The sequence below is a fragment of the Homo sapiens genome, chromosome 9 (genome assembly GCF_000001405.40).
Source record: "Homo sapiens chromosome 9, GRCh38.p14 Primary Assembly".
NCBI lineage: Eukaryota > Metazoa > Chordata > Mammalia > Primates > Hominidae > Homo > Homo sapiens.
This window is the reverse complement of record NC_000009.12, coordinates 123,073,949-123,086,945: the sequence shown is the minus strand read 5'-3', so window position 1 is coordinate 123,086,945 and position 12,997 is coordinate 123,073,949. Positions and strand designations below refer to the sequence as shown.

The 12,997-nt window shown below is 39.2% G+C and overlaps 1 protein-coding gene across 12 annotated transcripts in view; it reads right to left on the bottom strand.

Annotated features, from left to right (window-relative positions):
- The window catches only part of RABGAP1 (RAB GTPase activating protein 1), a 173,196-nt gene that overhangs the window by 17,921 nt on the left and 142,278 nt on the right, over positions 1-12,997 (bottom strand). For 11 of the 12 annotated variants that reach the window (XM_047423130.1, XM_017014567.3, XM_017014569.2 and 8 more), the window contains 3 exons: positions 12,518-12,661; positions 10,660-10,701; positions 10,184-10,312 (listed from right to left, as the gene is read on the bottom strand). In XM_047423130.1, coding sequence (XP_047279086.1) covers positions 10,184-10,312; positions 10,660-10,701; positions 12,518-12,661 — 315 coding nt within the window. Of the gene's footprint in view, positions 1-10,174; positions 10,313-10,659; positions 10,702-12,517; positions 12,662-12,997 lie in introns of those variants that run through there. The other variant, XM_024447475.2, reaches the window with a different exon arrangement.

Here is a 12,997-nt window from a genome sequence, read left to right as displayed (position 1 = left end):
TTTAAGTATCATTTTCATAATTATACAGGGTTTCTCTAAGAGCTCTGCTTGTTTCTCTAGCTGATGGTCTTCATTTACTTCCGAATCAGTCCTCAGGGGTCACCTCTCAGGAACGGGTGTACACAAAGCTCTGCTGTCTTCACAGACTTTGCTGGTCCAGAGTCCTGACTTCTTCACCAGCTCAGTCTTTTCCCAGTCTTCACCCTCACCTCTTCTCAGTCTCTCTCTTTCTCCCTCCCACCCTCCCTTTCTCCCTTAAACACTCACCACAAACACAAAATCAATAAAAACACCATAGCTTCTCATGGGTTCACGGCTGATGCTGACTTTTGCAGCATGGGTGGCTGCATACCAAACCCAACTAGTTTAGGCTGCCTCTGAGGCACCAATTCCAAGATAAAGGCTGATGCCTGAAACCCGAATGGGGAACCAGAAGGTGCCAGCAGCAGCAGGGGCATTTTAAGCCTCCTTTTGAGGCCATATCTGGGAGAGGCCAGCACCTCCCAGCCTGCCTATGACATTATGAATGTCTTCTCCAGGCCAGAACTGTCTCTCACTCATTGTTGTCCCCTGTTCATGTATAGCGAGTACCCAGAAATGCTTGCTGAATTACTGAGAAAGGACTCTCTTTTCCTTGCATTGACTTTTCTTCTGAATGGAAATGGCAACCAAAGTGGACATGCAATGCAAGCATGCTCCTTCTGCCTGGACAACCTCATACCTGGCTCACTCCTATTCACCTCTGGGATTGCAGTTCCAACACCCCTTCTTTAGCAAACCCTTCCCTCATACTCTCGTCCTGTCAGGCCAGTTCTTTCAGTTATGTAACTATTCTCATAGCATCAAGTCAATTCATCCATGGCACCAATCCAAGCTCACGATTACTTAGGTTTCTACTTAATTGTCTGTCTTCCCACCAGGAGACAGGCCATATCTGTTATGCTTACTATTGTATCTCCAGTGCTCAATGCTTGGAAAGTAGTTGGGACTCATAAAAATAGGATGTTAAACAAATCAAAGCCAAAGGCTTCCTTTTTACCTTAATAAAGATGCAGCAGGGACATTTATTTAACCAATAGTTAAGCACTACTATGTGCAGTGGCATTAGCAATACAAAGATATATATAGGTGCCAACGTACAAACTCCATGAGGGCAGGAAGTCCTATTCATTGTGAAATTCCTAACGCGTTTCACACAATAAGAATGAAAACACTTAATGAACAGAGACTTAGAAGTCCAAGACTCATTTTTTTCTCTTACTTTTAACTTTTAATTGAATTCGGGAAGCAAGGGAAGCTATGGATTTAGACTCAGAGCTCTGAATCATACCCGCTGTTCACTGATTCCTATCAGAAGGCTTTGGAAATCACAGCTTCAAACAGAGGTATTTTTGCCCTCAAAGAAAATTAAATTTGAAATTCAATCCTTGTTCTGTTTAAATATACTTTGTTGGGGGAAAAGAAGCCTAACAAATACTTAGCATAAGATTGGGTTTGTTGGTAAAACCAACCTTATACCCCACTGTATTAGCACAGGGGTTCTTAACACCGTTAGAAATAGCACTACTTTGAAAGTCTCCTGAGAGCCATGGTTCCTCTCCAATAAAGAATGCACAGAAGCCAACTTCCCCTCTCCCTTCACAATCAAAACATTCTACATACCATTTCAGAGGGCTCATGGGCCCCCTGAGGCCTGTCCATTGTCCCAGGTTAAGAAACCTTAAATTAGAGAGAAGGAAGACTTGATACATGCCAGTTTGTTATTTTGATAGAAGCACAAATTCAGTCCAAAACATCTCTCCTTTGGTCACTCACTTGTCATTAATCTGTCACAGGAACTAGATAATGTGCTTTCTTAAAATCTATGCCACTTGCCTTGGGGAAGCTGGTCTCTGATCAGCCCCTGGAACAGACAGGGACGGCAAGGGCAACACACATGGAGAAAGAGTGAGAGTGGCTGCTCACCTGGGCAGGCGCGACGTGGTACAACCTGCCCACTAAGAGCTCGGGCTGTGCAGGTGGAACAGACCAAGGCTGGAGTCCTGGCTCTGCCAATGACTTACTGTGTGACCAAGGGCAAGCTGCCTAATCTTAAGCCTCTATTTCCTCATCTGTAAAAATCGTTAACAGTCCTTATGAAGACTACTGTTATGAAGATCAAAAAACATCAAATATATATAAAGTCCTCAGAAAAGTTCCTAGCACACAGTGAAGTATTTTCAATAAATTTTAGCTACTATTTGTCGTTATTACCTGGCATCCCGTCCTGAATCAAGAGACACAGCTACAACTCTGAACATGTGCTGCAAACAAAGAGCCATTTTAAACAAAGTCAATTTAACACAGAAAAGCATGAAACAGGCTACCCTCTGGAAGTGGAGCTGCTTTCAAAGTTTGGCTTAAAAAAGTGTTGCCAAAATCAGAATCTCTGCTGAGCTGGAGTCATAGGGAATCCAGTGAAGTGGGAGGTTGAACATTAGTAGCTCTGCATGGCGAGAGAGAAGCATGTTGTTGGGTGAGTGGGTAGACAGTGGGGGGTAAGAAAGAGTCTGGTACATTAAGGAGATCCTGACTCCAAAGTCTTCATTGCTTCATGTGGTAGGACTATCAGAAAGCTAAATAAAGAAATCTGACACAAGTCTATCTTCCTGTTTAATGCTCAGGACAGGGACTGATTTTTAGTTACTGATAAAAAGAACCTGAGATTTACTCAGGACTTTCAGGATAACAAGATGCCTACATATCTACTATTTTATTTACTTCTCAAAACAACTTATTGAGATGAGTAGAGCAGGGATTATCTCCCTCATTTTACTCTATCATAGATCATATCACAGGTGATACTTATCATATCACAGATGGCTCACATCATACCGTATCATAGATAGGTGACTTGTCCAAAGTTAAGGACCCAGTGTTAAGTGGCAATGCCAGCATAAGAATGCAAGTTTGGGGTGATTCCTGTTTCTTATTTATCTCTGTGGCCTGCTCAGTGCTGAACACATAAGAAAATCTACAAGCGTTTGTTGACTTGAACTGACTTAAGGAAAGTACTCTGGATGCCTGGGCAAAGGTCAAAACAGGGCAGGCCAGAAGAACACTCGTATTTGAGGGATGCAAGCAGCAGCCACTTTAAAGGCATCATCTTATTCTGTCACAACCCTGCGATGTTAACCTACCCTGGGGTCACACAGCAGAGGCGGAGCCAGGATAAAAGCCAAGGTCTGTGGGTCTCGAAGGTCTGCATTCTTCACCAATGGAAATAAACATTCTATTTAATTTCTGAGCCTTTTTATTTAATTTGTTCAAACAGTTAATACTCAAACTCCTTCAAAGATCACTAAGTACAATTAGGTATTCTGGTTCTACCACCAGAGTGTTTTTCTAAAATGGAAGAAGCAAATTAGTAGCAGAGAACCCAAACAGATAAGGACTAAGGGAGACCAGCTTATTAAAAGAAGGCAGTGCCCACTGCTACCCTTGCAACAACTGGCAAAATTTAGGGTTCATTACAGAGAGAGCATCCATTCAGAAGTTTCCTCATAAAATCTGATTCTAAAAGGTAGGAACAAGCAAAGAAATAAAACTACAGTCTGGTCTAGTTATAAAGAAAGCTGAACTTTGTGTAGTGTATAGAGAATAAGTTTCAACTCTGACACAGAGATTGAGATTACATTACTAACATCACTAAAAAGGGATAACACACAAATGGCTCCTGTCCCATTCATTCAATCCATCATTTACAGTAAAGCAGAATGCCCATAAGAATTGACTTCAGAGTCTGAAACTCTTGGGATCTAATCCCAACTCCATTAGTTACTAACTTTATATCCTTTGAGAGTTTACATCAATTCTCTATGTCTCAGTATGCACATCCCTAAAAGGCCCTCATATGGTCACTGTGAGGATTATTTCACTGTATGAGAGCACTGTGTATGATTCTGCGAATCCATCAACAAACAAGACGGATGAAGTCGCTGCCCTCAGAGAGCTTAAATCTAATACATACTAACTACACAAACAATTTGAACAGAGAATGAAGTTCAAACTAGTGTTGTTTTTAAGCTCTGGAATAAAAATATCCCCCAAGGGAAAATGCTGAAGAGTTTTCTGTTTCTCCAAATAGCAAATGGTTAAGAATTATATTAATTTGGAGACACTGCTATTTGGTTTTTGTACTAGTATCTTTTCTTACAAGTAGTTTGAAGTCTGGCACATCACGTTGTGTTTAAAATGACACGTTCTAATGAAGCAATGGTTCAGCAATTCCATTTCACCTTAAGCAGGATTCTATGGCAAAATGGCCAAGTCCTCAGGTCTGATCTAGGAAACTCACTGGGCCATCTCTTAGAGCATGATTCTTGGGTCTTCTAAACTAGCCTCATATGTCTCACTTGTTCTCAAAAATGCCTATACAGACATGAAGAAAGAGCTTCCCTTGCATATTTCTTGAATCAAAAATCTAAAAGACCTTTCAATATTCCCCTCTAAAGACTATGCAAGGTGCAGTTGTATGAAAGGGCTGTGGGGCTCCCAGGTCCATAAATGATCTTCTAGAATAATCTATTTAGAATGGAATTCCTTTTAGATCCTCTATCAGAAGTGGAACAATTTTTCTATCTCAGGTCACTGACCCATAAAGCGGGAGAAGTTCAATGGATAGCTAAATGAGTTCTAAGGTACACTGTTAAATTTTAGTTTAGGAGCAGGGGATCTAAACTCCTCAAGAAATAAGTAAAACATTTCAGTTCCATAATAAGTTCACTTTAAGGAGAAAGAGGGAGAATAGGAGAAGTAAAAGGCCTGAAAAAGACAAAAGTAGAGAGGCAAGTAAGGACTGAGACAGACAAAGATTTATAAAGAAAAAAAAAAAAATTTCCAAGGGCACCGAGAAGAAGATAGACATTTTTGAGCAACACACCCATCTTGTGGCCATTTCAGATACTGCCACACCAAATTTAATTCTTGAACCTTTGCAATGGTAAGAGACAGTGGAATGCGTTGGAAAGCATTGGGAACATAAGAGTCAGAGGCCTCAGTTCTACTAGGGTGGTCTGTCACTATACAGCTGGTATGACTTGGGTAAGTCACTTGATGTGCCCTATTGTATCTCACAGGGTATTGTGAGGAAGAAATAAGATGCTTTTAAGAACTATATCAATACTACAAATTACAACAATATCATAATATTAAAACACAACAATGGTCGGCGCAGTGGCGCACACCTGTAATCCCAGCACTTTGGGAGGGAGAGGTGGGTTGATCACTTGAGTCCAGGAGTTCGAGACCAGCCTGGGCAACACAAAGAGACCTTGTCTCTACACAAAATAAAAAAAAAAAATTAGCCAGGAAATGGTGGTGCATGCCTGTACTCGCAGCTACTTGAGAGGCTGACATGGGAGGATCGTTTGAGTCTGGGAGGTTGAGGCTGCAGTGAGCCATGACTGTGCCACTACATTCCAGCCAGGGTGACAGAGCAAGACCCTTCTCAAAAGACCAAATATCACAACAATGACAACAAAAGTAGCTATCTTTTTCCTAGACTGGCATGTGAGGCAAAATATTTCCAATTCTCACCTTGATTATCAGGAAGTACAGTTAACCCTTGAACAACACGAGTTAGGGGCACTGACGCCCTGCGCACCTGAAAATCCACGTGTAACTTCTGACTCCCCCAGAATTTACTTACTAATGGCTTACTATTTACCAGAAGCCATAATGAAAACATAAAGTCAATTAATACATATTTTGTACATTATAGGTATTATGTACTGAATTCCTACAATATAACAAGCTAGAGAAAATATTAAGAAAATCGTAAGGAAGAGAAAATATATTTACTATTCACTAAGTGGAAGTGGATCATCATAAAGGTCTTCATCCTGGTTGTCCTCATGATGGGTAGGCTGAGGAGGAGGAGGAAGAGGGGTTGGTCTTTCTGTCTCAAAGGTAGCAGAGGCAGAAGTGGAGGAGGCAGAGGTAGAAGGGGAGACAGGAGGCATAGTTGGTATAACTTTTATTGAAAAAAATCCACGTATAAGTGGACCCATGCGGTTCATACCATGTTGTTCAAAGGTCAACTGTACAACTGAGTAAACCAAGCCACAATTTACAAACATTTAAAAAATAATGGAAAGAGATTTCAGTGAGTTGCAGAGCAAAAGTTACCTTTGTAAATTCCACATGAAAAAGTTCAAAAGCTTGTTTCCAAACAAGCTTTTGGAACCACATATCATGAACCGCCCTTTCGAGGTCTAATGGACTCAAACCACAGATCCTCATGTGTACTCATACCTCACGCAAGCCACAGAATGCAGGGCTCAGGATGCACTTGCCAATGACTTCCTAATTTTGAACTGGCAAGTTACCACTGAATTATCACTTTGCCCATAACAGGTTCAACTATTGTGTGTATCTCTCTTAAAATTTTTTGGTATTAAGTATAGCTGCCAGAAGACAACAAATCATCACTAACTAAACTGTACATACCATAGCTCACCTTCTGGCAGAAAAATCCCATTCTCTTATGTTCTGGTGAATCTGTACTCTTTTCAGGCTATGAGCCGATTTCAAGAAAAACTACTATCTCACCTGAAATCATGTGCAAATAGGGGGAAACATCCAAAGTGTACCCCAAACATGCAAAGTTCTCCAGGTCTAGAAGGAATTATATATCTAAGCACAAAATATATGTGCTGTGCAGACACACTGAAGGCAGCCTTGTCAGACTTAACTCATTGAAGGCATAGGCAAGAAAAAAAAAGACATTAGATACCTCCTATCTGGACTTTCCCCACCTTTCCATATATGGAAATAAAGGATCCATATATTATTAAAGTGTTTCAAGCTAATGGGAATCCAAAAGGTAAAACTTCTGGCTGGAAACTATTAAGCTTTGCCCAAATCCATGTTAACTCTTCTTTGTAAAACACATGGTAGACACTCAACAGTGTATTTATTCATTCACTTATTCAATCGATATTTATAAGCGAGATCCTGTTCCTGGTACTGTGGATTCAGCAGTAAGCCAAAGAGATTGTCTCTTCTGCTGCACAGCCTCCATTCCAGTAGGGAAAAATAAGATAGGATAAGGACGTAATGGCATAAAGGTTGGGGGAGCTGCTACTTTAGATACTGCAATTTGAGAAGCTGTGGATATATGAGCCGAAGACTGGATGAGGGGACAGTGAAGCCATGCAGACATTCAGGAGAACATTACAAGCAGAGAGACTGACCAGTGCAAAGGTCTGAGAACAGCAAGGAGGCCAGCGTGTCTGAATTGGAAGGAGAAGGGGGAAACGTAGTAGGAGAAAGAATCAGAGTTTAAGGAAAAACTCTAAAATCCAATGAATCTTTATGTATAAAACCGTTCACATCACAACAACAAAAATTTAAACAAGAGTGGCGGGCCGGGTGTGGTGGCTCACACCTGTAATCCCAGCACTCTGGGAGGCTGAGGGGGGTGGACCACTTGAGGTCAGGAAGTTGAGACCAGCCTGGCCAACATGGCGAAACGCTGTCTCTACCAAAAATACAAAAAAGTGGCTGGGCATGGTGGTGCACCTGTAATCTCAGTTACTTGGGAGGTTGAAACAGGAGAATTACTTGAACCCGGGAGGCGGAGGTTGCAGTGAGCTGAGATTGCGCCACTGCACTCCGGCCTGGGTGACAAAGCGAGACCCTGTCTCAAAAAAAAAAAAAAAAAACAAAACAAAACAAAAAAACAAAAAAACAAACAACAACAACAAAAGCAAACAAATTTAAAAAAGAAACAAACAAGGGGGCACAGTTAAATAAACTGTAGCACAGTGAGGCAAATTCAAGCAGAGGAATTATATAACCATTTACAACTGATTATTTACACACAATATCTCAGTGAGGAAAATCCGTATAATTGCATGAAACAGGAAGAAAAATGATACTGACTGTATGAACTCAATTATTTAAGAATGCATAAAAAACATTTGGAAAGAAAAGGAGCAAAATTGAATGCAGGATGCCTCTGGATGGTGGAAACGTGAGTTTTCAGCAAAGGAGACATGCGATAGAGAAGAGCCAGGGAGGGAGCCACTGTGGAAACAGGAAAGGATGATGATGGTTAGATTAGGATGTTAATAATGAAGGTGGCGGTGATCAGAGTCAGGATATATTCTGACGACGAGCATAGATGTGGAGTGTGAGAAAGAGAGGAGTCAAGAGGACAGCAAGGTTTTTGGCCTGAGCAACCAGGTACCCCTAATTGAGATGGGGACACTGAGAAAGGGGATTTTGGAGGCAAAGAAATCATGAACAAAAAAGAGGCAGCATCCTCTTGTGTGCTGAACCAGGCTGAGGTGGGAAGAGTGACTCAAAGAATCTCAGAACTCACTTGGTTCTATCTATGCTTTGTGCAAACCTATTTTCTTTGAAAATATTACTGTAAAATGTTTGTTATCTACTTAACGATCAGGGAGGAAATAATTATAGTCGTAGCCATCATTTCTTGGACCCTTACTAACTACCAGGCACTATGTTAAACACTGTACATACGATATCGTCGCTAATCCCCACATATAAAAGCACTTAACCATAGTACCAAGCACATGGTAAACTATCATTAACTGTTAGCCGTAATACCTATGAAGTATGTAACATTTTAAATAGAATGTAAACTCTGATGATTATTTTAATTACCAGAAGTTCTATTTCCTTTTTTTTTTCTAATCCACTATTCATTTTATATTATGATTTCTACTGTTTCTCAGGCTAATAGGTAGTTTTTGTATTCCTCCTTTAACAGATAGGGGAGCCATTCAGAGGTCTTAACTTTATGCAAAGGCCTCACTTTTTCAGCTGCCTCCTAAAGGCCCAAAATCATATCCACTATGTCTGTGTGAGCATTAAACCCCTAATAGCTACACATAGTTCCATACTCCCCTGAGATGTGTTATATCAGTTTACACACACTAGTTGAGCTACTTTGTTTTAAATACCTGTGCATTTCTATTTCAAGTTCTTCCAGGCATTTAAACATTTCTTGGGGTATATTTTATTTAGCCTCTCTATGTGTTAAAAGAAGGGTAATCTGAGTTAGCTCAGTCTGACACATAACCAGAATGAGAAGTAAAATATTATTTTACAAAAGCAGAAACTGAGCCCTAAATAAGTGAGTCCAGGGAGGTTGAGGCTACAGTGAGCTGTGACTGCACCACTGCACTCCAGCCTGGGTAACAAGAGTGAGACCCTGTCTCAAAAAAAGCCCCACAGAAAATAAATACAATACAATACAATACAATACAATACAATACAATACAATACAATACAATACAATACAATACAATACAATACAATACAATGTTATGATAACATGAACACAAGAAGATCCTATACCTTTTTACTTTTAAAAAAATTGTGCGAATCACAAATGCCACTTGAAGTGATAAAACTGAGTTTTCTTCATGTATTATTAGCTTTGTTTTAGGGAACTTCTGACCAGAACAAATGTTGAAAGTTAAGGCCAGGCGTGGTGGCTCACTCCTGTAATTCCAGCACTTTAGGAGGCCAATGTGGGAGGATCACTTGAGCCTAGGAGTTTGAGACTAGCCTTGGCAACATAGTGAGAACCCAAATCTACAAAAAAAAGTTAAAAATTAGCTGGGTGTAGTGGCACATACCTGTAGTCCCAGCTACTCAGGAGGCTGAGGTGAGAGGACCGCTTGAGCCTGGGAGGTCCAGGCTGCAATGAGCTATGATTGTGCCACTGCACTCTAGCCTTGTCTCAAAAAAAAGAAAAAAAAAAAAACAAAAACAAAAAACCAGCACAGTAGAAGAAATCATGAAACCTGAAACCTGAATTCTGCCACTAACCAGGTGTACAACTAGGGAACTACAACCTCTTTTTGTTTTGATTTGTCTCAAAACAGGGATATTAATACTCTTCTATAGTTTGGCGGTTGGGGGGACAACGAGATTTCATTCGTAGGATTATAATATATAGGAAAGTATTTTGGGGAAAAAAAGGTTAAGAGTTATATAATACAGAAGAAAACATCATTAATATTATTTATATATTATAAATGTTAACACTAATATGTATTATAAATGTTATAAATATAATACATAAATAATTATGTATTATAAATGATCAGGAATAGTGAGACACTAAGTGAAAAACAGAATCTTAACTAATGCAAAATTATTTTACCTTCATGTTGCAGGCTAATTCCATTAGTTTTTTTGCATTTTCTTCTGAGCGGTATCTCTTAGGAAGCTGAACCCTAAAGAACTTCAAGGCACCTTCAAAGTCTGTCAACAGCAGGTCATCTTTCGAAGTCTTGAAGAAAATACAAACACATATAGAAAAAATGTGTTGCTATAAGGATGCACAAGAAGTTTTTTATATTCTCAGCACTTTTCAGCACTTTTACAATCCCCAGAAGATACTTCTTAGCTTTTGTCAGAGCCACCTGCATACATCCACTGTTAGGGGTAATGCTAGATTTCCAGCACTTTTATAATCCCCAGAAGATATTTCTTCGCTTTTGTCAGAGCCACCTGCATACATCCACTGTCATGGGTAATGCTAGTGCACAGTGACTGCTCAGAATGAGACTACAACCAATGTATTGCAAGTGCAGAGCAGGGAATGACAGATAACTCAGCTAATAAATAAATGAGTACCTTTAATAATCCAAGGGCGACATTAAAAATAACACTTATTCCCTGAAAGAGAACAGACAAAAAGAACACTGTCAGTTTTTATATCTCGACTATTATGCTATTTGTCCTTATACCCCACATTTTTAAAGAAATTGTGAAAACTTAAGGAAGGAAATGCATTATCTCAGAACTACCTTGAAAAATAAAAACTAAAGGGCCATTGAAAAGCTGCTTAAAGACCTAGCTTCCCCTTTTTCTGAGAGAAGAGCTTTTCTTGCCCTGTTCTCATATTCAATAATAAGAAATGCTTTTCCAAAGCATTCCATGCTTCCAAACCAAAAGATCAGTCATAAAGTTGTGATCTCTCAGGAAATAACTCCTGGGGAACTTTTCCTTTATCTTGTGCTGTCCCAATCCATGCACAGCAACCACTCTGTCGATAAGCCCTATATTCCAGAACTGAATCTGCTCAAGGCTCCCTCCATTCTGCAAATCCTGGGGCTAAGAACAAAGGAGAGGAAGCACTAACATCTGTTGATCAAGTTAAACTGCTTAAGCTGCTGGGCCTCAGTTTCCATAACTAATACTCTCCTATGGGTTTTCTGAGATAATTAGCTGAAAAGTTTATGTAAATTACTTAGCATGCCACCTGGCCTTTAGTAGCTACTTAACAGATGGTTGTTTATACTACTAAAAAGCTAGAAACAATTTAAAGGTTTGTGATTAGAAATTGGTTACATAAAGTATAGCACATCCAAATAATGGGATACTTGGCAGCAACTAAGAAAAACGGCATATTTGGTAATATTTATTTCTTCTGTTTCTTAGAATATTTCAAGCTGAGTGGTAGATACAAATTCTTTATGAATTTTTGTATGTTTTGAATATAGCATAATTAAAAAGGATAGTACAGATGTGTATGTTCAAGTATATGAAATTTAAAAAGAGGATACCAAAGAGTATAAATAACAATCATATTTTTAAATATACACATAGGAGAACCATAATATATATAGTGTTCCATCCATATGGAAACCATACTATTCTGTATAGTAATTATACATACACATATATGAACACATAAAAAAGGCTGAAAGGATACTGCTTTTAACCAAACTGTTAAAGGAGGTAACCTATAGACAGTGGGATTTGTAGTATTTTAAATTATTTTTACTTATATTTTCTATAAACATATATTATTTTTATAATTATGTTTTTCTTAAACACACCACACAAAATCCAAAATTACGTCATGGCAAAGACTGTTATTTACTCTAATATCTTATTTTCTCTTTAGTAATAAATCTCTAATTTTTAGCAAATTCCTGCTCAGCTTATTTTTTAAAAAGTCTCCCTTGCAGCTAGGTGTGGTCATGTAACTAAGTTCTGACCATAAAGTGGAAATACTGGATGGAACTTCCAGGAAGTCTCTTTTGAAAACAGAGGAGGCACCCTCTCCCATCCTCTAATCCTCCTGGCTTGAATATGATATAATGGCTGGTGTGCTACTCCTCCATACGGCTAACAGCCAGAGTGAGGGGAAGGCACGCTACTGCCAACATTGACTTTTTTTCACAAGAGAGCAAAAAGCTATTTTTTAAAATCACTGTTACTTTGGGTTTCTTCATTCAATACAGCCAAAACTAATATGAACTAATACAAATGTCTAATTCAGTACGTCTTTTCAGAGTACACCTTTAACAAATACGATCATTAGCTTTAGTCCAAGGAAGTCACTTAAACCTAGATTTCCTAGCAATAAAATAAAATAATTAAAGAGACCAATTCTGTTTTGACAGAGCTGACACTCAAAACAGAATCTGTTCTCCTCAAGTACACTGCAAACAAAAGCCAAAGTGCTGTGGCCTCTGATACATACCTCACATAAAAGCAGGTCGATGATATGGAAGACCATGTAGAGAGGGAATTTTGCAGTGAAAAGAGTAAGAAACCACTGGGAGGCATACATGTGTGCTTCAAGGCTTATATCCAGGAAGTGGTTGTACAGGTCAGGAATGTATTCCTGAAATAGCAAACCAATTAGTTCTGGGCACATATGCATCTGTCCAATTCCCACTAAGGAGGCTCATAAATCTACCAGGAATAGGCCAAAAAAGTAAAATACTTGTGTTTTTCTAAAAATCTCCAAAGTGCTTAGAACACTTATCATCTGGTATTAAGCTGGCACTCAACTCTTTTTTCCAGACCACAAACTTGTTCTAAAGAAAGAGGAATCCCCAAAATGGTGACAAGTATTTGGAAAGCCTGTTTTTCTCTCCAAAGTAAAAAACATTTGGGAAAGTTTGTTTCACTTTTGTTATGAGATTCCTAACCAGTCAGCTTCAGAGCCTTGGGGAGT